This window comes from Homo sapiens, chromosome 13, assembly GCF_000001405.40.
Source record: "Homo sapiens chromosome 13, GRCh38.p14 Primary Assembly".
NCBI classification, from domain to species: Eukaryota; Metazoa; Chordata; class Mammalia; order Primates; family Hominidae; genus Homo; species Homo sapiens.
The window spans coordinates 107852242-107876228 of NC_000013.11; the positions used below are offsets into that span (position 1 = coordinate 107852242).

General features: G+C 40.7%; 2 protein-coding genes across 2 annotated transcripts in view, besides 3 other annotated features; one reads left to right on the forward strand and one right to left on the reverse strand.

Moving 5' to 3' along the window:
- The window catches only part of NALF1 (NALCN channel auxiliary factor 1), a 703987-nt gene extending 688732 nt beyond the window's left edge, over window positions 1–15255 (reverse strand). The window contains exon 1 of the mRNA NM_001080396.3: window positions 13441–15255. Within this exon, the coding sequence (NP_001073865.1) occupies window positions 13441–14355 (915 nt within the window). The 5' untranslated portion in view covers window positions 14356–15255. The remainder of the gene's footprint in view (window positions 1–13440) is intronic.
- LOC124903206 (heparan sulfate glucosamine 3-O-sulfotransferase 4-like) lies at window positions 14432–21131 on the forward strand. The gene has a single exon (XM_047430833.1). It carries the CDS (start codon window positions 14656–14658, stop codon window positions 15217–15219), a length of 564 nt encoding a protein of 187 aa, XP_047286789.1. The 5' UTR covers window positions 14432–14655; the 3' UTR covers window positions 15220–21131.
- Window positions 15723–16291: an enhancer, noted in NCBI's record as "H3K4me1 hESC enhancer chr13:108520312-108520880 (GRCh37/hg19 assembly coordinates)". NCBI's record gives its function as "activates a minimal SCP1, AML or CMV promoter by ChIP-STARR-seq in naive H9 embryonic stem cells {active_cell/tissue: H9 hESC(naive)}" and the evidence as "EXISTENCE:reporter gene assay evidence [ECO:0000049][PMID:30033119]".
- Window positions 22764–23265: an enhancer, noted in NCBI's record as "H3K4me1 hESC enhancer chr13:108527353-108527854 (GRCh37/hg19 assembly coordinates)". NCBI's record gives its function as "activates a minimal SCP1, AML or CMV promoter by ChIP-STARR-seq in primed H9 embryonic stem cells {active_cell/tissue: H9 hESC(primed)}" and the evidence as "EXISTENCE:reporter gene assay evidence [ECO:0000049][PMID:30033119]".
- Window positions 23266–23765: an enhancer, noted in NCBI's record as "H3K4me1 hESC enhancer chr13:108527855-108528354 (GRCh37/hg19 assembly coordinates)". NCBI's record gives its function as "activates a minimal SCP1, AML or CMV promoter by ChIP-STARR-seq in primed H9 embryonic stem cells {active_cell/tissue: H9 hESC(primed)}" and the evidence as "EXISTENCE:reporter gene assay evidence [ECO:0000049][PMID:30033119]".

Below are 23987 nucleotides of genomic sequence, written 5' to 3' on the forward strand. Positions count from 1 at the left end.
GTCCATATATGAGTCACACATGATGAAATGCTTGATGACTTACTCCTTTTTAAACTAGGTGCACTGTGGGACACCTTTTATCTCAGTGCCTAAATTACCATTGCCATATAATAACAGCACTCAAATTAAGAACCGTTTCCACTAAAATTCTATTTTTAAGAAGCAATATTCATTTGTTGCTCTACTATGCTTCTTTTTCCATGCAGTACACAACACTTGTGTGACAAAATGCATTCCCAGAGAAAATGATCACAAATTAAGACATTAAAATGTTTCTTTATGCAGCATCCTTTAATGACGCTGGACAATGATCATATCCTTTGCACAAAGTCACTGTGATCATTTCGAGGAAATGCATGTGGTCTTTTCAGAACTGACAGATCTTGGTCTGTCTGATTCATGTGCTCATTCCACAAGCATGGGCAACCGAGAAAATGGTCCTTCACCATTACTTGAAGAAATCAGAAGAACCAGGTTGAAAAGCCCCTTGGAAAATTATTTTTCTTAAGTTTCCACATTAAGTACATTATCTGTTGTCATGGCATCAAAAAAACACAATAGAAAAAGTATAGGTTCAGGGCCATACAAAATAACCCACAATGGAGATAGCATTCCACTGATAAGAGAAAAGTATTATAATCGGTCAGAGGTAGGAAACAGGAACTCTCAAACATCATTTTGCGGTTTTCCTGGCTTATTTGCAGCATCCTTTCAGCCACTTCATCTTGTCCCATGCATTTCAAATGTCAGACTATTAAGATGAATTAATTAAAAGTCATATTTGAGTGAATATGATTTTTTCCCAAAGCCAGCTCTATCATAAATTAATTTTTCTAAAATTATTCTACTCTAGTCATCACATGGAAAAAAAGGAAATTGTTGAGTGCTGTATAGTGTCTTCAGCTATATTGTTTTAATATTATTAATGTTCTCCAGTTGTAAAAGAAATGCAAATTTGCACGGCTCAGATTTTGCATTTAATCTGACTAAAGTTGATATTGTGAGAAAATTTAATATCCATCTAAGTAGGTTGTAATATTGAAAACCTGAGCTTCATTTCCTTATCAGTGATTTACCATATTTCTGAGAAAGATTATTAGCCCCAGAAAATTAATTGACAAAACAATGTTTTAAATCTTTGCATATTTGTATTTGTCTCAATTGTAGTTATTTATGGGTCTTAGTTTCTTTTCCTGTGGACACAGTCAAAAAGGGAACTAGGAAAAACTGATAAGCATTGTAACCACTCCTGCAATTACAGCCTTTTGTAAAGTTGCTACTTTTATGAAACAATTGGGAACACCAAAGATTATCCCCACAGCTTTAAGAACACTTTGAAATTTTCACTATGAAAAAATTTGAGTTCTTAGTATCACAATACTGCAATACCACAAATTAAAATTTAAACTAATAAATTTAATTCTAAATGTACAATTAAGGATTTAAGACATAAATATCAATAGACTTTCCTAATGTTCCACAGATTCTGCAGTTATTTAGAAATGAGAAATGTATTTACCAAAGACTAAATAAAACACACAAAAATAGATTGGGTACTCTTTTAAAAAAGACTTTAAAACTTTAAAAAGTTTGATTTTTTCAAAAAACAGCTCCTTTGACTCACTGCAGGTGAAATAGCATAGAAATAGTTGGACTGTTTCACCCACTAAGTTGTAAGGACAACAAAATACTAAAAAATACTTAAAGATTGGATCAACTATTTTAATCATCTTAAAGAGCTAATTCATTTAATGGAGAAATCCAATTTAGTTGACAGCAAATACTCCATTTTCTTGTCAATGAAGCAAAACTATGCAGATAGGATTTTATTCACTCAGAGCTGAATTCTCTCCTCTTTACTAGAATTTGCAGGCACACTGAATAAAAACGAACATTCGGTGTAAAAAAAGCCAAAGCTGAAATGATATAAAAGGATTCATCTTTTCATAAGTGACTTTTAATATTCAATATATATATTTAGAAACTTTCCGGGACCCATAGAATATATCTGAAACCTGCCATACTTGGCCAAACCTCCAGAAAGCAGGTCACTTGCATTTTCATGCTTGTGGCCTCTCTTTTTTCTCGCTATTTCACTATTTCATCTGGACTGTGGCATGAGGCCATTGCCTGAGAAGGCATACCTGCCTGACAACTTGTTGGCTAGTGGTCCATAACCACCAGTCTGCTGTTCACTACGGCCGGAGATACCCGATTTTAAATGATTTAAGATTCACATTGACCTTTTTAAAAACACTTGCTTCTCTCCAAACTCTGCAGCTATCTAGGGTCACTGTGATTCCTGAGGTTAAATTTATTACCCATGCCTTTTTAAAAAGACCTATTTGGGGTCAGCGGCGGTGGCTCACGCCTGTAATCTCAACACTTTGGGAGGCCGAGGCGGGCAGATCACGAGGTCCAGAGATTGATACCATCCTGGCCAACATGGCAAAACACCGTCTCTACTAAAAGTACAAAAAAAATTAGCCACGCACGGTGGTGTGCACCTGTAATCCCAGCTACTCGGGAGGCTGACGCAGGAGAATTGCTTGAACCCGGGAGGCGGCGGTTGCAGTGAGCCAAGATGGCGCCACTGCACTTCAGCCTGGCGACACAGGTTCCATCTCAAAAAAAAAAAAAAAGAAAAAAAGACCTATATGGAAACCTACTTCAAAACGTCTGTGAGGCAGTTCATTTGGACTAGGAAAAGGCCAACTTTTGGTAAGAAACCAATTACTGAGATTAGGCAGATAACCTCGTGGATCTTTTCTACCTGCTCAGCATCTAGAGAGCAGGCACAGTGGAGTGCTGGTGAGGTGTAGCAGGGAGTGGTCACCTCTTTGCAGAGGCGTTTCGCTGACAGAAAGGAAGCTCTAGCCACATTTCACCACATGCTTGCTCCATTGTATCTCTGGGTGCTGCCTTAAACTGGATGCACCAATCCCCATTTTACAGGAACTGGTGAAAGCACCCTGGGAATCAAGGCCTCTCTGACTCTTAAGCCTATGCTCATTCCTTACACCAAGATTGTCCAACCCCCGGCCCGTGGGCTGCTGGCAGCCCGGGAGAGCTTTGAATGTGGCCCAACACAAATTCACAAACTTTCTTAAAACATTTTTGTGATTTGTTTTTAGCTCATCAGCTATCATTAGTGTTAGTGTATTTTATGTGTGGCTCAAGACAATTCTTCTTCCAATGTGGCCCCCAGAAGCCAAAAGATTGGACACCCCTGCTTTACACCAAGCTGCCACAACAACACACATTCTGGATGAAGCAAGTTACATTATCTTTTATGTACCAAAGAATTGTACACTTTATCCACTCCTGCTGTTCTCCTCCACCTCCTTCCCTCTAAAACAAAAACAAAAGAAACAACAGGGCAACCAGACATGGGCAAAGACTTGCGGCACAGTGAGCAGTATAAGGTAATAGTGAAGGTAAACCCAAGAGATTAAGAGCCAGGTGTTCCTGGGTTTGAATTCTGGATGTGCCATACTTACCTATGAGAATGTTCGCACACTCTTAACCTAAGTCTTAATTACCGCTTTGATAAAGAAAACTGAGTTTGCCCATGATGTTGAATTTTTGTGGGGAATGAATAATATATGGATGATAACATTATTATGACAGAACTTGTTTATTGAATAAGTGGAATTCCCTAAGAGCGAGAATTTTTTTTTTTTTCAGACAGGTTGTTGCCCTATTATCCAGGCTGGAGTACAGTGGCACGAATACTGCTCATTGGAGCCTCAAACTCATGGATTCCAATGACTTCACCTCAGCCTCCTGTGTAGCTGGGACACAGGTATGCACCACCATGCCCGGCTAATTTTTAAAAATTTTCTTGTAGAGACAGAGTCTCACTATCTTGCCCAAGCTGATCTCAAACTCCTGAACTCAAGCGATCCTCCTGTCTTAGCCTCCCAAAGTGCTGGGATTACAGGCATGAGCCACTGCACCTGGACAAGAGAAAGAATTTGTATACAATGACTTCAGTTCTTTTGATAATGTCCCCAAAGAATTGGATGTGGACATGAATAACTGTGTGCAAAGAAGTGCTGTGAAACCAATGGAGAAAGGTCATATGAAAACTTCTCCTTCCCAGCACCACCATAATGTTGAGTCCTGCTTTGCTCTAGAGGGTTCTTTGAGAGTTTATAATGCTTGATGTGTTTGTGACCAGAAGAGATGAGACAGTATATATTCTCGATATTAGCAAGAGCAAACAATTACTTATTCATTAGTTTCACTTCCTGTCTAACTCTAGGGTAAGTATATATACTTTATTCATTATTTTTTAAATTATTCTCACTGATAACATGGATAGGAATCAGAGAAATAATTTAAAGTTGAAATTGGCAAGCTTTCCTTTTTAAAATCAAAGTACTACTACTGTGAGCAAGGTGTTAGGCTAAAAAAAATAGTTATTTTTTTATGTGATGGAATTTTATTGGCACTAAGTACCATCTCACCATGCAAAGTCACTTCCGGGTGCCTCATCTTATGCCAAAGGATGTTGGATGGAATGTTTAAAATTATGTAGCCCAACCTGCAACCCACAGGAAAGATGCTCTCTAGGGTGGTGGCCGACAGCTCCCATCCCATTTGTACATCTTCTGTGGAAATGTGCTCTTGAGTTCCTGAGACAGCCCTTGCTTTTGTAGGAGAGCAACTCCTTTCATAGAACACTCTTCCTTATGTAGAGCAGAGATCTTCTTGCCAAAACACCTGCACACAGAGCCTCACTCTCACCCCTAAAGCAACACAAAGCATTGGATAGTAAGACTTCCTTCCACAGGACAATTTTCGTCAAGTTAAAGAACCTTGCTGTGTCTCCCTGTGTCTTCTCTATCTCAGGGTAATCCTGTTTTCATTCATGCAGCACAGCTTCCAGGCTTTTCTTCAACCTGCTCCATCTTCTCTGTCATGGCTACCAGGTTTGCCTTGTCTGGTAGCTCTAGCTCGACATCAAGGATATCTGTTACCCACTTCATCTCAGTCCTCAATCAATAAAAATACTAACTATGGCTGACTGGATAAATGCCGAGTGAAGTAGAGAACAACAGAGACAACCAACCATAACAGAATACAAAGCTGAAAATCTAGGGTGCAGGACAAAGTTCACATCTTCTACAGTGGAATCTGGAGGCACATGGCTTTCCAATGCCTGACAGACGACATAACACAAAACGTTTCCCAAGACCATTTCTACCCACAGGTTTACAGGAGATGGAGGATCACTACAATGGTTTCTCCCCTTGTCCTCTCAAAAAGGCTGTGAACCAAAGTGTTCAAGGCCTTTGGTTACGCACCTATCAGGATCCAGTCAATCTAAAATGTAGCACATGTTAATCTCTAAATTAAAATAGAGAAAAAAATTCCAGCCTTAGGAATGAAACATTTTACTCCAACTGAACTTATGTTTTCCATTTTACTCTACAGTTGTTCAATAATTGAATCATCTTTCTAGAGAAGCACAATAAATGTAGGTGCAATAAATCAGAGGATTTTACCATACAATATGCAAAGTCTGTTTATAAAAGTCTTGTAAATCAGTCTTCTATACAGAAAATTTATATGAGATCTCAAGTGAGGACTATATTAATTTTATTGATGTTTCCCGTGGGTTTTAATGAATTGCTCCCATTTACTGGGCATCATCAAGCCCTAGGCAAGGTCTTTTCATATACCAGACTAAAAGACTCTGCCATATTGAAATTATGAATTCATAGAAATTATCGCCAATCTCCAAAGTTTATTTCCATCCCACCAAAACCATACACACATCCTTTCTCTACTCAGCTCTAAACGTGAAATCAGAAACCTTCGTGTTCTTCTGATCTTCACATTATTCATTCATATTCAGGTTACCTAAGCCTTTGACATGATAAACCTGGCCATCCATCCTAGTTGCCCAGGACTCTCACATTTCTGTCTTCTTTGCTTGCTATATCATCGAAAAATGTTTTCAATGATAAATTAAAACTAAATAGAAGTAGTAAATATGGCAAAATTCGTAATAATTGTAAAATGTATAAGACAGTTACATGTGGGTTTATTATAATAATGTCTTAATTCTTTGGGATGTTTGTAAATATTTCTAATCAAAAGGAAAAAGAAAACATTTACAGTGATGAAGTGACCCTAATATTTAAATTACCCATCTCGGCTGGGTGCGGTGGCTCAGGCCTGTAATCCCAGCACTTTGGAAAGCCAAGGTGGGAGCATCACCCGAGGTGGAGAGTTCAAGACCTGGCCAACATTTGGAAACCCCATCTCTATTACAAATCCAAAAAATTAGCCATTTGTGGTGAGGCACACCTGTAATCCCAGCTACTCAGTGGGCTGAGGCATAAAAATCACTTGAACTGGGAGACAGAGGTAGCAGTGAACTGAGATTGCGCCAATGCACTCCAGCCTGGGCAACAGAGTGAGACACTGTCTCAAAATAGATTAATTAATTAATAACCCATCTGTTTGACCTTGGGATAGTTAACTTTATGTCCTCACATTCCCCATCTGTAAAATCTGTAATAATACTTCCCTCATAAAGTTGATGTGATGATTAAACAAATTAGAATAGTTTCTGACATCTAATAAATTCTGAAGCTTGTTACCTGCTATTAAAGATTGCTCTAGGGCTTAAATTTCTGGGTGATTTAAGTCATTTTCTGTAAGAGTTAATACTTAATAATGATCGTCTATTTAACGTCTTAGTTCAGTTTTCTATTCAAATAAACAAAGTCAGTGACAGCTCCATAAGAAAGAGATCAATCTTTTTTGATGGAGGTGAAGGTACAGAGAAGAAAAGAAGAATTCTGAACTTCGAGTTCCCCACGGTACACAGGCTCTGGAAATGCAGCTAACAAATGGCAGGAGAGGACCCAGCGATGGAAAGAAGGCACATTGACAAGGAGGAAAGGAAAACTGAGAGGTGAAGAGGCTAAGTCAGCAATTTCTTAATGTTGATAGAACTCATTTTTCTTCTTGTGCAAAATGAAGCAGCTGACATACAAAATTCCCATGTATTTCCGAAGAAATGATTATTGCATTCACCCACCACACATGTTCTACTGCTAAGATCAATAACGGTATTTAAACAGGTATTAAACATCTATCTTTTGCAGGATCTTTAAGCATCTGAGATAGCTTCTATAAATTTTGTTTGTAAATGACTCAATGTAGAAAGAAAACTTCAAGTGGGGAAAATCAACTACCATATTTTAACACCTTAAAAGCCCAAGAATTTTAAAAAACTACCCAAGAATTAAATATTTTCATGCATTCCAGTACAATACAACTGTAAGTCATTAACAATTTGTTGACAAGAAAGAAGTCATGTTAACCATCTCTCATTTCCAGTATTAAAGAATCAGAGTAGGCGGGTGCGGTGGCTCATGCCTGTAATCTCAGCAATTTAGAAGGCCGAGGTGGGTGGATCATTTGAGGTCAGGAGTTCGAGACCAGCCTGGCCAACATGGTGAAACACCATCTCTACTAAAAATACAAAAACTAGCTGGGCATGGTGGTAGGCTATAATCGCAGCTACTGTAATCCCACCTACTCAGGAGACTGAGGCAGGAGAATCGCTTGAACTCAGGAGGAGGAGGTTGCAGTGAGCTGAGATCACGCCACTGCACTCCAGCCTGGACGACAGAGCAAAACTCCAACTCAAAAAAAAAAAAAAAAAAAAGAATCAGAGTAAATTAGAGCATTACATTGAAGAAATTCCACTATGTAGCTTACAATGATGCTTGATTTCTTATTAGATAAAATTTAAATTTAACTTTATATAGTATCTCATGAATTAAACTTAAAAAATAAAAAAGATGACTGATATTACAACCTTGGCTAAAACATAGAAAATCCATAGTTGCCTGACACAACCTTAAACAGTCAAAACTCTGGCCCTCCACACATCCATCTCCTTCTCTCCATGATCCCTTCTAGCACATTCCCTAACTCTGAGACCCAGTTAGTTCACTTCTCATGCACTTCCTCAGTCTCATCAATAGAAATTCGTTCCCTGCCCTTGGGATATGTCTTACTGCCATTACCACTTTTTAAAAATATCTGAGTTATACTTTCATCAGTTGAGCAAATGGGATTATGATGTACTACTGAGATATAGGAGCTGAAAGGTCATTCTATATCAATTGTCACTGTGAACCAGAATGGTGGTTCCCAACCTTGGCTGCACATCAGAATCACCAGGGAGACTTTGACAGAGCCCAGACCCATGACACCGGCAGGACGATAAAATCAGAATCTCTTAGGGTTGGGATGCCCTGGCCTTAGCGCCCTCAAAGATTTCCAGGATGTTCCACTGTGACCCCAAAGGCCACTAATCTAGAGTATATGTTAACTGAAAAAAATATATTTGCAATGTAGATCAATATAAACAACAAAATATTTGGTGCTTAGTCATTGTGAGAGCAACACAGCGGATAAAGATTTTAAAAGAAATTGAGAAATAAAATTAAAGCAATAGTTCACATCATTCAAATCAAAATAGTCTTTTGTTTGAAACAGTTATCCATAAATTTGTTCTCGTACATTAAACCTGGTAAAAATATATGTTAATGAATTATGATTTACATGTGGAGGAGAATGAGAGCATTGCTTGATTTCCTTTGTTAATACTTTAATTCATCATGTATATGTGGACACTAACTTCATCTAATAAAAGAGGTTAAAAGCAATATATAACAGCAATTATTTAAACTTTGTGATCATACCTATGTAGCCACTAGTTTGACCCAGTTACAAGTTCAAACTAAAAATATGTATTCCATGGTCTGTGAGAAAACAAATATCTAATAATAAGATATAATGTTGGATATCTTTCTATAAAAATAAAACACAAATCATAAATCAATAGTTGTACATGGAGCAAGAAGATAAAAAACATAAACCATAAACTAAAATGATTATGATATTCTCTTCAACCTCATAAATAGCTTTACTAATGGTTAAAGAAATAAAAATACATATAACTATCATGCATCAATAAAAAAAAATTTTAAGTAGTCATCTGCATGGTCAGACTGATCTTCTAGAGAAGCAATTCCACTATAAAAATTATTTGTAAATAAAGTGGTAGAATATTAAAATGTTCTATTTACAGATGTGTACTCCACACTTCTGAACAGTGACATGATATTACAATAGCACTTAGTCAAGAGCAAAATATTTTTGGTTCAAAATTTAAGTGATAAAAAATTGTAAGATACTTGATTTCTTCTTAAAAAACTATTTCTTGGCCAGGCGCTGTGGCTCACACTTGTAATCCCAGCACTTTGGGAGGCCAAGGCGGGCAGATCACGAGGTCAGGAGATCGAGACCATCCTGGCTTACATGATGAAACACCATCTCTATGAAAAATACAAAAAATTAGCTAGGCGTGGTGGCGCGCACCTGTAGTCCCAGCTACGAGGGAGGCTGAAGCAGGAGAATCGCTTGAACCCGGGAGGTGGAAGTTGAATGAGCCAACATTGCGCCACTGCACTCCAGCCTGGGCGACAGAGTGAGAACTATTTCTTTATGAATCTTCAGTGTGTAACACTAAAATACATAAGAATTTAAGAAATGCATTTTTTTTTCTTTTCAAATTGTACATTATGTAACCAAACTCTATGTTCTCAAACTAGTTGGGTAATGTTTGTGGGTGATGCAAATGAGAAAGCCCTGCTATACATGCCTAATACTTGCAAGGTATCCTTTTGGTCATAGTCTGTTATATAAAAATAAGCAATATAATCTGCTTTAATATAAGATTGTAAAAATAAAAATGTGAGCATTCATACATTCTTGAGAGAACAAAAATTACAATTTATACTGAGAGAACTAAAGTACAGATGGTACAATGGTTTATTTTGCAATCTAATCTCAAACCCACTTACACTGACCAACTGTTTGAGGGAATAGTAACTAAATAAAGCTATCAATGACTTTAGAAGTTTGTCTGTAAAATAAAAGTTTATATCCCATAAATTCCTCACTTTTATATTCATTTGCAAGAATTCTCAGGAACTAAAGAATGGCATGTATAAGAGAAAATATGTATTTAAGAAAAATCAAGCATGTTTATAATAAATATTTGTACTTTTGTAACTTAGAATATTTCATTTTTTAATATTGTCGAACAACTTAAAAATTTTGGTAGCTTTGTCAGTTTTTTATTATGCATCAAAAACATTGTTTTAAATAACACTGTAAACTACAGGGGAAAATTTCTGCTGTAGTATTTACTACTCAATTTATGTAATGTAGCAAAATGCTATAGTATTAATGATATAGTCAACATCTCGTGTTCTTTATTTATCCATAAATAATTTCCCAGATAAATGCATATATTTACATTTATCAGAATATTTAAAAATATTGAGTGAATATTTTTTCTATGATACATTGCAATACAGAAGTACATCCAATCTATATTTGACCAGCAATTACTATAAGTTTGAGACACTATAATTTTATTAGGTCTATTCTAAGGGGTTTCTTCTGAATAATTGGTCAAAAAGCCTTTTAAACAATTTAAATCAAAATGAAATTTAATTTATTCTTATTTTATATGAAATGTAGCAGTTTTGAATGAGGGCAGAATATGTAACCGGAAAGTAATAATTCATCCTAACTCTAAAATTTAGAAATCACTGCATTACTCATTTAATTATAAATGAGTATAATAAAGTTAATATAGTTTTTCTAAAATATGTATCCCAAAAATTTGTGGTGCTAACATGATTTTATGTATTCTTTTCTCTACAATCTTAATAAATATATTTATAAATTATAAATTAAAATTAATTTTAATGAAAATATTACCAATTACAGAAATATAATACATTTACTTTTAATGTAGCCTATGACTTTGCAGATGCCTTCAGAAAGGAAAAATTTTGCATAGAACTTCTATCTTGAACAAGGCTCCTAATGATAGTCATTTCATAGGCATAAGTCCATCTGAAATAAGTAAAAGTGTTCAGAAAGAAACTCAGGCATATCTTTCAAAGACAAAAAACATTTTAAGTAATGTGGCATAGTTTATATGTGAATGTGTTTGTGGCTTTTTCAGAATCAAAGAGAAAATATATGTTAAACTAAGAAACTATGCTTCTACTCCCTTTCTACATATAACCAATTGATTTGTGAGTCTTAAACCAAGAACACCACACTTCAAATTTGCAACTGTAATTTTTGACAACAGCTATTATGGAATAAATATTTCAAGTTTACAAGAAACCACAACAAAAAAACACCCCACAACCAATAAACGTCTGCACGACATAACATGCAATTAATTCTCCATTGCGGTGATAAGAAATCAAGTGTCTGCATTTACTTATCAAGGCGAAGACTAAGTTTTTAAAGAAATTAAGGTTTTCATAATGTGCTTTTTTGTGCCTACAATTAACTTCTACTTTACACAAAAACATAATCCAGAAGTAGGCAATAACGTTATAAATGAGTTAACTTACACTATACTTTATCGCTATGATTATGTAAATGATGTAAATATACAGTTGAGAGGTAATTTAGGTTAAGGGGAAAGAAAACTTTTTAATATATTTACTTGAACATTTAAATTAAGATGTATTTGGCATGCTCATTTGAAAATACGCTGCAGTCTATTGTCAATACAGACTGTCTTTTAAATACTGAGTTATACAAATGGAAATTATCAGAAATTAGGGTTTACATGCAGGGAAGGAGGCAAATATAATTATTACAGGGTACCACTCTTAAACACAACTAAACTGAACCCTCTGCAATCCTTTTATTACTAGTAGAATTAGAAGACGTAGAGTTTCCTTTTCTTTACAATTTCAATGCAACATATCTTGTCAAAATAAATAACTGCAATTATTGCAGTAGTTATTCATTATTAATTTCTACCATTAAAGTTTTATTCCCAGGCATAAGTTAAAGTGATATGGTTAAAAAAATAGATAAAAAAGTTTAAGATACACTTGTCTAGTGAAGTATCACTCTAAATTAATGTTGTAAATTCAGACTTACTATTTTCAGAGAGCTGTGTTTCTGGTCTTGAAGAATGAGAATAAGGCAAGGTCAGTTTGAGTTTAATTTAACTGTCAAAAGCACAACTAATCCGCCCAAAGTAAAATATGGCCTTTCGACTGTGTTCATTTAAAATAGGCATCCCTTAGTCCAGTTCTTTTATCAAAAAAATCACAAAATTATTTGATCTATACCACCCTTGACTTTATTTTCCCAGCAGAACGCAAGTGAGACAGAGGAACAGTTGTTCTGCTTGTATATGGGATTGGGAAAGTAGGAGAGAAAGAGAGAGAATGTGGTGTATTATTTCCCTTGAAAAGCAGTACCCGTTTATTGTGTTGTGTAAGAAATTACCCTTGGAACAAAACATTAAGGCTTATAGAGATACTGTCATTACATCTTCCCTACTAAAGGTCACTGCAGTATCTTCATCTTCAGTACAGCTCTTGGGTAAATCTCATTTCAGCACCACGGACAGAGACGCTTCTATTAAAACCTGCGCCTATTGTTGCATTTGCATCGACCAATTCTTAAGAAACTTGCGCAGGCTTCCCATTTGCCCATCAGCAAGGGTTATATTCTTTATTACACTGAACAGGGAGAGCTTAAATATAATACAGACTATTAAATATTTCAGTAAATTTTAACTACATCATCAACGTTTTGCTATTTAATACTTCTGGAAAGCATACTGAAAATCAAGCTAATTACATAGTGTGTCTGATAAATAGCCTATTGCTAGTCAATCACTAGACACCTAATTACAACTGTTCATTCATAGTGAGTCCCAGATCAATAATTATACAAATGTCCAAGAGGAAACAGAAAACTTAAAAAAAGTAAATATCCTCAGGTAGGCCCCCAGACTTTCTGAACAACCAGAACTACCCCTGTAAAAACAGGTAATTCTTTTTAACTACCGAAACAACTACAACCACTTTCTCTTGCTCAACCAACTTAATGATGTCACTATGAGAGCGTTCCTGTGTGCAGATCTATATTGCAAACCACACATGCCTGTCTCGAACTCTTCTGACTTTACCTGTGAGCATCAGTGTGCAGTCTCATTGCTATTTTCCTGACAAGACTTTTTCAACTTCCTTTTCTTAAAAGATGTAACAGAGTTTGAGCCAACTGCATGAATGTAAGAAACAGTTAAAGTGCCAGCTTGATTATCTCAGATAACCGGGGACTTCCCTGATCTTCCAAGGACTCCCAGAAGAAGGCATCAGTCAGTCCACCAGCAATCCACCAGGTATTCTCATCTCAAACAGCAAGCCAAGCTCTTAATAACCGCAGAAAACACAAAGTAACAAAACCATAGCCAAAAAATAATAATAATAAACTTGAGAAGACACCCCAACCAAGCAGAGATAGGAAAGTGCAGGAAAGGGGGAAACCCCCGAGGGTTCCTACCTTACAGTCTTCAGGACAGGATTTCACCGAGTACTCCTCCGACTGTAAATATTTGTGGAGCACGCTTTCAAACTCTTCGTATTTCTCCTGAGCATGGTGGTCATAGTCCTGGTAAGCCTCGACGCACTGCCTGCAAGTGGTCATCTCGCCGCCTTCCTTGAGCACCACATCCAGACTGCAGTTCAAAGTGTTGGGACTGGACAACCCCGAGAACAACTCCCAAAGTGTGTAGGAATTACAAAACGAAAGGTAAAAATCCGACAAGTTCCAGAGCGGAGTGGGATGCTTGCTCCTCACCTCCTGCCCGTCCCCCCCGGCCGCCCCCCGACTCCAGTTCCTGGCGCACACCGCGTCCGCATTCTCCACCGTGAAGCACTGGCCCGAGGACGCGCCCTGGGGGTAACAAGTCTCCAGGCGCCACACGGGCTTGGCAGAGTTTCCTAGAAAAAGAGCCTTGCCCCGGTCGTCTTTGCCTCGGTTGCCCTTGCCGCCGCCGCCGCCGCCGTCTCCCGGGGAGGGGGGCAGGGTGGGGGACGAGGAGGCGGAGAGGAGTCTGTGTGCCTGGGCGGCGGGCGAGGACTCCCCCATGCTCGCCAGGAGCGCGGGCCAGGAGGGCTCCTGCTGCCGCCGCTGCTGCTGCTGCTGCTGCCGCTGCCTCTGCTGCTGCTGCTGCTGCTGCTGCTGCCGCTGCTGCTGCTGGTGCTCCTTGTCCCGGGCCCGGGTCAGCTTGGCCTCGGCGCAGAACCACAAGTGATCAGAGAGCAGGACTGTGAAAAACAAGAGAGATGCCAGAGACAGTCGCCATTTCTGAGCCCTCTCGGAATCGATGAACGGTTTCTCGTTCTCTCGGGGTGCTGCCAACCAGATTTTTAAGCCGTCGTCATACTGCCGACACATCCAAGCACCCCTGGTCATATTTTGGGAACGCACAGCCCTGGCCGACTCCACCGTGAGGGCGCCTGTGCCGGTGTCACCACAATATGCATTGACTTAAAGGGTTTAATTTCCTTATCCCCTCCTCCCGTTTCTTCTCTCTCCTCTCTCTCTTTCTCTCTCTTCCCCTCTCCCTCTCTCCTCTCTCTCTCTCTCCCTCTCCCTCTCTTTTATCTCTCTCTGTCTCTTTTGCCTACATAAATATTACCAGGCTTTGAAGGAAGGTCTGACTTGCTTCCTAATCATCAGCCGACCCCATCCTCTGTAGAGTGGGAAACAATAATGGAGAGAGAGAGAGAGAGAGAGACGGAGGAGGCTGGTGCTGGTGGCCGGCGGCGAGGCTGGGTGCAGGGGGCGATGGTGGAGGTGACAGGGTGGCTGGCGCGGCTCCGGTCACCCAGGCATTGTCAGCGCGCGGGTCCCCATGGCCCCGCGGAGCCCAGCCCGCTCTCCCCTGCCAGGGGCATGCCGCGCCTCCGCTGCCCACTGACGGCGCCCGGAGCGCCTCCCCTCCTCCTCCTCCTCCTCCTCTTCTTCTCCTCCTCTTCCTCCTCCTTCCTTTCCTTCTCCTTCTTCTTCTCCTCCGCCTCCCGCTCCTGCTCCGCGCTGGCTCTCCCAGAGTCCGGAGCCTGGGCTGCCTCCGGCGGGGCGCTCCCTCCCCCCCACCCCCCACCCCGCGCTCTAAGTGCTGCCGCCGCCGCCGCCGCCGCCGCCGCTGCCGCAGGGCCGCCCGCGGGCGCCGCCGCCGGGGCTCCGACTGCTGACGCCGCCTCCCGCGGAGCTCCGGGCCGAATCGCCTGGGCTGGGCCTCCCGAGAGCCACAGTCATCTTCAGTCCGCGGGCTAAGTTGCCGCCATCTTCGTCCTGGAGAAACACTTTTTTGGGGGGAGCGCTGGCTTTTGCGTCATCTCCTCCCGCGCCGAGCTCGCTCCATCCTGGCGCAGTGGCGCCGGCTCGGCCCGGGAGGAGGGAGAAGGCGCGCGGGGGCGGGCGGCGGCGGGGCCGCGGGGCCCGGGGGCCCCCGCCCGGCTCCCCGGGCTCAGGCGCCTGCTCTTTCCTTTCTGTCCCCCTGTCCACGATATTTTGTTTTAATCACTGAAGAGAAAAATAAAAGTCAGACTGCGGACGGCATGGCCGGTGAGGCTCCTCGCGGCCGCGCCGCCCGCACGCTCTGGCTCCGGGAAGCGTCCGAGTTGCAGGCGCCCGGGCAGAGGTCTCTACTGGTGCGAGGGTCTGGGCAGAGTCCTCTCAACTAAGGACCGAGCCACTTCGGATGGAAGGTGGGGGTCCGCGGAGGAAGCTCGAATTGGCTAGAGGAGGGATGAGGTGACATTTGGTCTCTGAATGCGTCTCGGATCCCGGACCGCGAGATCCATCGCTCCCAGTGCGTGCAGTTATTCCGTCCTGCTGTGTGACACGGGAGAATGGCGCGCACGCCTGTGCACCTGCATCGACCGTGTAGCTGCCTGGGTGACAGCCACCCATTTGTCTATGTTTTCTTTCCTATTCTAAAGTAAACGATTAGAAGTGGCCTCATAGAGTCTTAGGAAGAAACAGTAAGCCCTGTGCCACCCGGGGTCACTGCCTAGCCCTGCCCTCCGCGCGCACCGTCCGCGTCTCCGAGGGCTCCTCCTCGGACCTGGACCCTCTGGAGCGGCTTCGACCCTCCCTCTGCCCCCGCTGCCTGCGTCCAGACCCCCTCCCGGGTGGGCTCCTCCGAGGACCTCCGCAGCCGCGGGCGAGCTGGGTGCCTGCGAGTCGCCGCCGCAGTCTGAGCCTCTGGTGCCCCTTAGCGTTGGCTCTCGGAGTTCTGAGAAGGGAAAGGAGACAGACACTCTGGGAAAATCTGGGGTCACCTCGATTCCGGCTCCTACGCTGGATGCCGTGGGCAAGCATCGGTCTCCTTTGATCTGAAGATCCTGCCCACTCCGCCCCTTGCCCCTGCCAGACCCGCGGGAGCAGCAGGTGGCGTGGGTGCCAGACGCTGCCGGTGCGCACCGAGTGCAGCGCTGCCCCGGCTCGCCCCGGGGGTCGCGTGGGACAGCGGTTTGCGGTGTCGCCCTCTCTGCGGTGCTTTCCAAGGACCCTCATGCCCCGCCCGGGTGCACATTCACCACATGGGTCTTACTAGGTGACCTCTTTCTAAGTAAAATGCATTGAGAAACCAAAGGGATGGGGCATCCGTATCCATTTTCCTTTAAGGAGCGCTGTGGGTGTTGGGGATGCGGGAGAAGTAGGTGTTTTTTAAAGAGAAAATTGCAAAACCTCTTGGGCAGGATTCGACCTACTAGCCTCTTCTGCTGCATAATAAGGTACTGTATACACTAAATTTTACCCCTAAAAATTTTCAGTTCTTACCAACTATAGGTAATGATCATCCAAAAGCCGCGTCCTGTTTGATGGCTGGTTTACTCAAGTGTCATGTAGTGTTTTAAAAGACGATTTGTGTAAGTAGATCATTCTAGTACTTTCGATTTCAGTGTGTTGAATTTCTGAGTAATGTCAGTTTTTCCTCATAATACAGACAAAATTATTATTTATTAACCAGATTGTTTATTAATCAGGACTGTACTGTACATGCCACAATATTTCTTAACTAAATACGAGTGCATACATTCTCGCTGACATAACTATTATTATACAAGTACAGTTTGTGCATTGTAAAAAAGGTGTAAAAATCAGAAGAGCAATTTAAAAAGTCATGGTGATATCAACACCCAGATATAATCAGTATTTTCATTTTACAGCATCTTCCTAACATTTTTATTTTGTATTACTAATTTCCTGTTTTGTGATATTCACTAGTCCAGCATTTTCGAAGGATTGAAGTATGATAGAATACACATCCACACTTATTAGATAATAATATATTTCCCTTCAATAATGCATTAATTTTAATCAGACACAAACATTTTAATGGTGGCTGAGATTATTAGCATCCAATGTCTTACTCTGCATGTGTGATTAAATCAGAAAGAGAACGAAAACTAGGGGAAATAAAATAAACAATATAAATTTAAAGGTTCATAATTATCAAACAAGGAACCGAAGCAAAAGAAGACTCTGTGACTTATCTTATTACTATTCAGATCTAGTAAAAATCATGTCTCAGAAGGTAGTTCAGTGATACTTAGTAAAAGTCTTATATACTGCATTAAAATAATAGTGTTTAATCTATTTTTACTTTATGTAACAGACTATAGTTAATTATTTTTAAGTAAGCTGGGCCTTGCCTTCCTCTAATGTTTCTCATGAATTAGGATATTTTTATAAAAGACAATTTTAAGGACGCAAGCCCACTGAAAGTAAACTGTTGAGAACCAATTTGACTTTTGTTTGTTGTGTGTTGGTTCTAGAATGAACTGTTGGAAGACAGATAAAAGACCAAGTCTGGCCTCTTGAAGCTTAGTCAAGGGGCAGATAATACTAACTAGGCCAACAATTACAATACAAGGTAATCTGTGAAGATTAGCATGTTTTGAGACTTCAGAGTAGAGCAGTAAACTCCAGTTGGATTTTAAGAGGGACTAGGGATAGATAGGAATTGGGGACATTTAACGGGAGCAGAAAGAAGTCTTCTAGGGAGGAGAAAAGGACAATTCAGAAGGACAGCAAATTTCAAGGACTTGGGACCTTGAAGGAGCCCAGGGCACTGGTAGGACTACTGACAGATAAGTGGGCTGTGTTGTGTGTGACCTGTATATTGGGAGGGGGTAAGGGAAGAGGCTGGAGAGAAAGGCTGGGGCTCTGTTATGAATGATACTGTATAATACTCAAAGGAAATTGGCTTTTCTCCTGAAAGAGATGGATTCATTAAGGAAATTTAGATTGTGACTTCAATGTTCGTTTTCATGAACATCACTGTTCACTAAAATCAAAACGAGAAATATGTTTGGAGAAGGCGTTAACTAGATTAGTAAATGTTGATTCTTATTAGCTTATCAGCTAAAATATTGCATAGTGGCAAGGAAGAGCAAATAGCTTGGCTGGAATGTAGGTTTCATTTATATCAGGAAAATCAGGCTGTGGAGTCTAGAAACTCCTACGTAGGTTTTACCTAGGAGTGTGACTAATGGAATAGAGAAGTTTAATAGCACCAGCACATTTCAGAAGGCTGCTGAATAGTAGACAGTTGCAAATACATTATATTGAGGGATCTGCTAACAGGATGTACTCTGAACAAGAAAACATTGCAGAAACAATCTACATGTATATCATAGCTCCAGGATTACTGTTCAGGGGGTCATTTATGTTTATAACCTTCAAAAATTCAAAGCTCTTACGTTATTTGATCATGCTTATTTTCATGGGAATCAGTGCTTTTATTCCTATTTAAATGGCTAAAGTTGTTATGCATTGGGAGATGGGTTTCTTATTCTGCCTTTACGTTATAAAAACAACAAAATGATATATTTGTTGTCTTCTCAAGTATTTATCCTTATCCCTTAAAATTAACATCTGCCAAATAATTTTACCAAAGAAAAACAGGCAAATCCAGAATATCTTCTTATCTAGTGAAGGCCATTGCTTAAATATGTCCACTCCATAAATCAAGTAAATAACAACCCCAAGATATTTTCTTTTTTCACACTGAATGCATCCTGAAAACACGAAATTAGGTACACCCTTTGTTGTTCTCATATACTGTTTATGTGACACATATAAGTGAAAATGGATTATGCTCTTATATACACATTAATCTCAAAAAAGACTTTTGTGCTTTTAGAATTCACAGGCAATGTGCAAATTCTTGATGAGCATGTCTACATTTTCTACTTATTTTTGTGGTTGTAGTTTTGAGATGGAGTCTAGCTCTGTCCCCTGGGCTGGAGTGCAATGGTGCGATCATAGCTCACTTCAGTCTCAAAATCCTGGGCTCAAGAGATTGTCCCACCTCAGCCTACCGAGCAGCTAGAACCGCAGGTGCATGTCACCATGTCCAGCTAATTTTTATTTTTACTTTTATTTTTTGTAGAGATGTGGTCTCCCTGTATTGCCCAGTCTGGCCTAGAACTCCTGGCCTCAACTGATCCTCCTGACTCAGTCTCTCAAAGTGCTGGGATTACAGGCATGAGCCACCACACTGGCAAATGTCTACATTTTTTAAAACAAATTAAACATAAAGAGCTCATAAAGAATAGTCAAAGTTTATTTGTGGAAAAATATAAGACTGATCTATAAGCTTTTAATTCCACTATAATTTGTGAATGTAAACCTCTCTTTAAGATAAAAGCAGATTCTAGCATCATGAGGTACCTGAGGGCTCTAGTTAGTTACCAAGATGGGAAATGTGCCTGGGGCTTTCTGTAATTGCATTTCCACCTTGATTTGATAGGGTTGATTTGGCAAACTAGCATTTTCTCTCTATCTGTGTACTTCCACCATGCTCCAGCTCAGTGATTTTCTAATGTTGGTGGGCAGAGAATCAAGTAGAGACTTAGTCAACTTGGGCCCCTCTCCAGAGACCTGCCTCAGTAGAACTAGGCTGGGGTCCAAGGAAACTATTTTTAACAAGAACCCCTTAGTAACTTTTTCTAACCTAAGAACGCTTCTACCTACAGTATTGGCACTGCTGGATAGAGTGGCCGGTGTGAGTCAAATGAGGGTGCATGCTCTAAATTCTAAACCAGTATCAAGATTCATCTGTGGAGAATATAGTGTTAAATAATGTTATTTGTGATTAAGCATTAGCGTGTATAGAATTAAGTCATGAACACTTTTCATAGAATGCAAACAATGTATACCCCACATGACATTAAAAATCTATGTCATCATTGTCATCATCAAAATTACTATTTGACAAACTCTTTTAAGAACGTGTGTACATACACACCATTTGCAAGCAACAAAAGTGACAGAGGGAAAACGCTTCACTCAAGATACACAGAACGAGGCCCATATGGAGAAATGGACAGAAGTTACTGACAAATAAAATAAAAGATTTGAACAGTAAGAAAAATCTGCCTGTGTCTACACAGAAAGTTGGCTATTATAAAGATGAAAATTCTCCCTAAATCAAGTTACATATTCCTGAAAACAAAACGTGATTATTTTTCCTGAAAGAAACTATCCTCCAAAACAGAGGGAGCCATTTTATATTTGACTTCTTACAAAATCTCTCATAACGTGGGGGCCTCTCTCTATTTTATTTCAAACTTCATTTTGGGAAGACACAAAGGCTCTTGAAATGAGAGCCACCAATGTTTGTTTTAGATGCTTATAAAGCTTACCTCATGGAGCTGTTAACATAGCAAAATAAATTTTTTAACAAAGGAAAATTTGGTAACTATTTCTGGGGTAAAGATTTTACAATAGCAAGTATTATCACTAGACATTACTTTAAATGTGGATTTTTTTAAATCATGGTAGAAAACAATATAAAAAGTGTTCATGTGGCAGTTGTTAAGAATACACATCTTCAGGGTTTTTTAATATAAAAAGGGGAAAGAACAGTCTCATTATTATATGCATAGTTTCTCTGATTTGGTACAAAATTTCCCAGTGATGTCATTGTGGAATGATCCAAGTGTTGCCTGTCAGCAGAGATAGGAGTGAAGTTGATGATGATGGTTAGATGGCCTCACAAGGGACTCTAGTGATAGTAAAGGTTCCAGTGGCAAACACACAAGTGAAAAGTTTGAATATAGTTTCATAATGTTTGAGAGTGTAAAAAATGCATTTTTAAATTAATGCATTACTTTCTGTACTATTTTAAATAAGTGTGTATCTAAATAAACACATAAAATGTTATGAGTAAACATTAGGCTATTTAATTTCATTTCATCCTTAAATTTGGGAAGTACAAACCAACAGGGCGTGGTGGCTCAAGCCTGTCATCCCAGCACTTTGGGAAGCCAAGGCGGGTGGGTGGATCACATGAGGCAAGGAGTTCAAGACTAGCCTCGCCAACATAGTGAAACCCTGTCTCTATTAAAAATACAAAAATTAGCCGGGTATGGTGGGGCGCACCTGTAATCCCAGCTACTTGGGAGGCTGAAGCAGGGAAATCACTTGAACCTGGGAGGCAGAGGTTGAAGTGAGCAGAGATGGCATCACTGCACTCCAGCCTGGGTGACAGAGTGAGACCCTTTCTGAAAGAAAAAAAAAAAAAAAACTGATAGAGACCTTTTCGGAGTTAGCTTCTGATGCATCAAAAAGTATGATGGGCTTTAGACCTATTATATTTGGGCTTGCCTTATATGTGTGCATAAATATGATTTGTTCAGTACAACTTCAATTAAAAGATTTTTTATAGAACCTGACAAATTATAAAGTTTATCTGAAATTATAAATGGAAACTAGAATGGAGCCTCCGTAACCACGGTCCTACAGCAGCTTGCAGCTGTCGTGGGAAACATCAGGCTCCCTCTTCAGACAGCCTTCCTGGTGCTCTGGCACTAATTTCAGTATGCTCACAGGGAAAGCAGAGTGGACAGGGTAGATAAATGGTGACTCCCTCATTCCATTAATATTTGATGCAGGATCCAGCCTCTGCCCTCCAGCTCTAAGAGAATCTCCAGCCAGAGCATGGATGAGGCCAGCAGGCAGATCTCAGAGACATTTCCTGGACGTTACTATATAGTTGGCACTGGTTCCCACAATACAGCACAGAGAATAGCTTTGTGACACTAGCTACGAATTTGATCATAATTTGAGATCAGATGCATCCATAAAAGAGTGGACTCTGATATATTTCTCTCCCTACTTCTCAGACTTCAAAACCCACAGGGATGGTAACAGCAGAGGTCAGAAGAAAATTAATTGCCAACAGAGAGGAGGGAAAACACACCTAAGATATCTACATCCAAGAGGACAGGCCACCCATTTGGGGAGCATTTCAATGCAGGTAGATTTTAAAGTGAATAAATAAAAGTAATGAGGTGATAACCCTACCAGGTGCTAAAACATATGTTAATGATATAATAATTAAATAAATGTTTAAGTAGGTAAATAGCAGTAAAAACTAGAAATGACAGAAAAAAGGCCTAGTACATGTAAGAATTTAGTATATGATAAAGGATAAACAAAAGTATTACGTAATATATGTTTCTGGGACAATAGTTTACACAGTGCGATATACGTTCACTTAGATATTTACTTTCTGAATAGTTTCTAGACATGTTAAATAATTAAATATTAAAATAATCAACTGGAAAAATAGATAAGACTTTTTTAAATGGAAAAAGCACATAATAAATTTATAAAATTAAAATTTATAAATCCATACAACTTTTGTTTGTTAAAAATTTATACTCTGGGGGACAGCCAATATGGCTGACTAGATGCAGCCAGGAAGAGCTTCTCCCATAGAGAGAGACCAGACCAAGTAGACTGGCACACTCCAAACGGATCTTTGGAAATAAAGCATTGGGAGTGGACAGAGGGAGGATGCAGACCCTGGGCTGAAACAGAAGGAAACTGGGAACTCTTCACAGGGTTGCCAAGTAGCTGGTCTCGTTCCTGGCCTTGAGCAGCTCCTAGGGGTGGGTGAGTGACCTAGGCATGGAGTGGCCTACTCTTGCTGTGGACCTCCAGGATCCCAGCTGTGGGAGACCCCACAATCCCCAGCGACATCTGAGCTGGCAGGGAGAACTGTCCAGAGAGTTGATAGAGACAGAACTCCAGCCTGTGTGGAGCCCAGAGTCGCATGGGAATGGCTGCAGTGGAGCAAGGCCATAGGCGCCCATCCCCCAAGGCTCGCCATAGTTCTGTAGGTGTTTCTACCCATTGTTGGCTGCCAGACTTGGACAGAGTAGAACTTTCTTGCCCATGGGACAGGGCCAGTCTGATCTGAGTGACCCCCTCTCTGCTGGCCTCTCCCAGGGTCCCTGCCTGGCCACCACACCTGCTTGCAGCACAGCCTCAGCTTGCCAGTAGCCACTGCCATAGATCTTTTGCAGGCAGACCCCACCTAACTGTCAGCGCACTTTTGCAGACAGACTGCCAACAGTGTGCATCCACCCACAGCGTTCCCCTCAGGGGACATGCACACACCCATGGCCTCCCCCTGCTGCCCCACCGGCACACATGTGTGTGCGGACCCCTGGCCAGCACACACATGTGCAAGGACCCCCACTGTCCTACTAGTATGCATGTGTGTGGGTACCCACAGCCACCTTACTGGAGTGCTTTTGCCAGCAGCCCCTGTCACAGTGTTGTTGCCAGCAGACAGGGCACACCTCAGCCAGTCTAGCACAGCAAGTGCTTAACCTTGAGGGGCCAGAGAACAAAGCCACAGGCCTAGTCCCAGCCCCCCAGAGTTAGAACATGTAGCCTACGAGTGCTGAGCTGAGGCTTGACCCTCTGAAATCATCCAGAAATGAAGCCAATCCACTAAATCCAACTTATACGATGGTCATATCCTGGAGGGCATCAAATAGTGTGAATGCAAAAAGCCTCACCCAAAAGATAACAACTGCAAAGACTAAAGGAACATCAGCCCACATAGATGAGAAAGAACACGTGCAAGAATTCTGGCAGCTCTAAAGGTCAGAGTGTCTTCTTACCTCCAAATGACCGCACTAGCTACCAGCAGTGGTTTTTAAACAAACAGAAATGGCTGAAATGACAGCTAATTCAGAATCTGGATGACAAGGAAGCTCATCTACATACAG

Coding starts and splice junctions, on each gene's coding strand:
- LOC124903206 (XM_047430833.1), top strand. CDS start 14,656: ATGGAGAGAGAGAGAGAGAGAGAGACGGAGGAGGCTGGTGCTGGTGGC.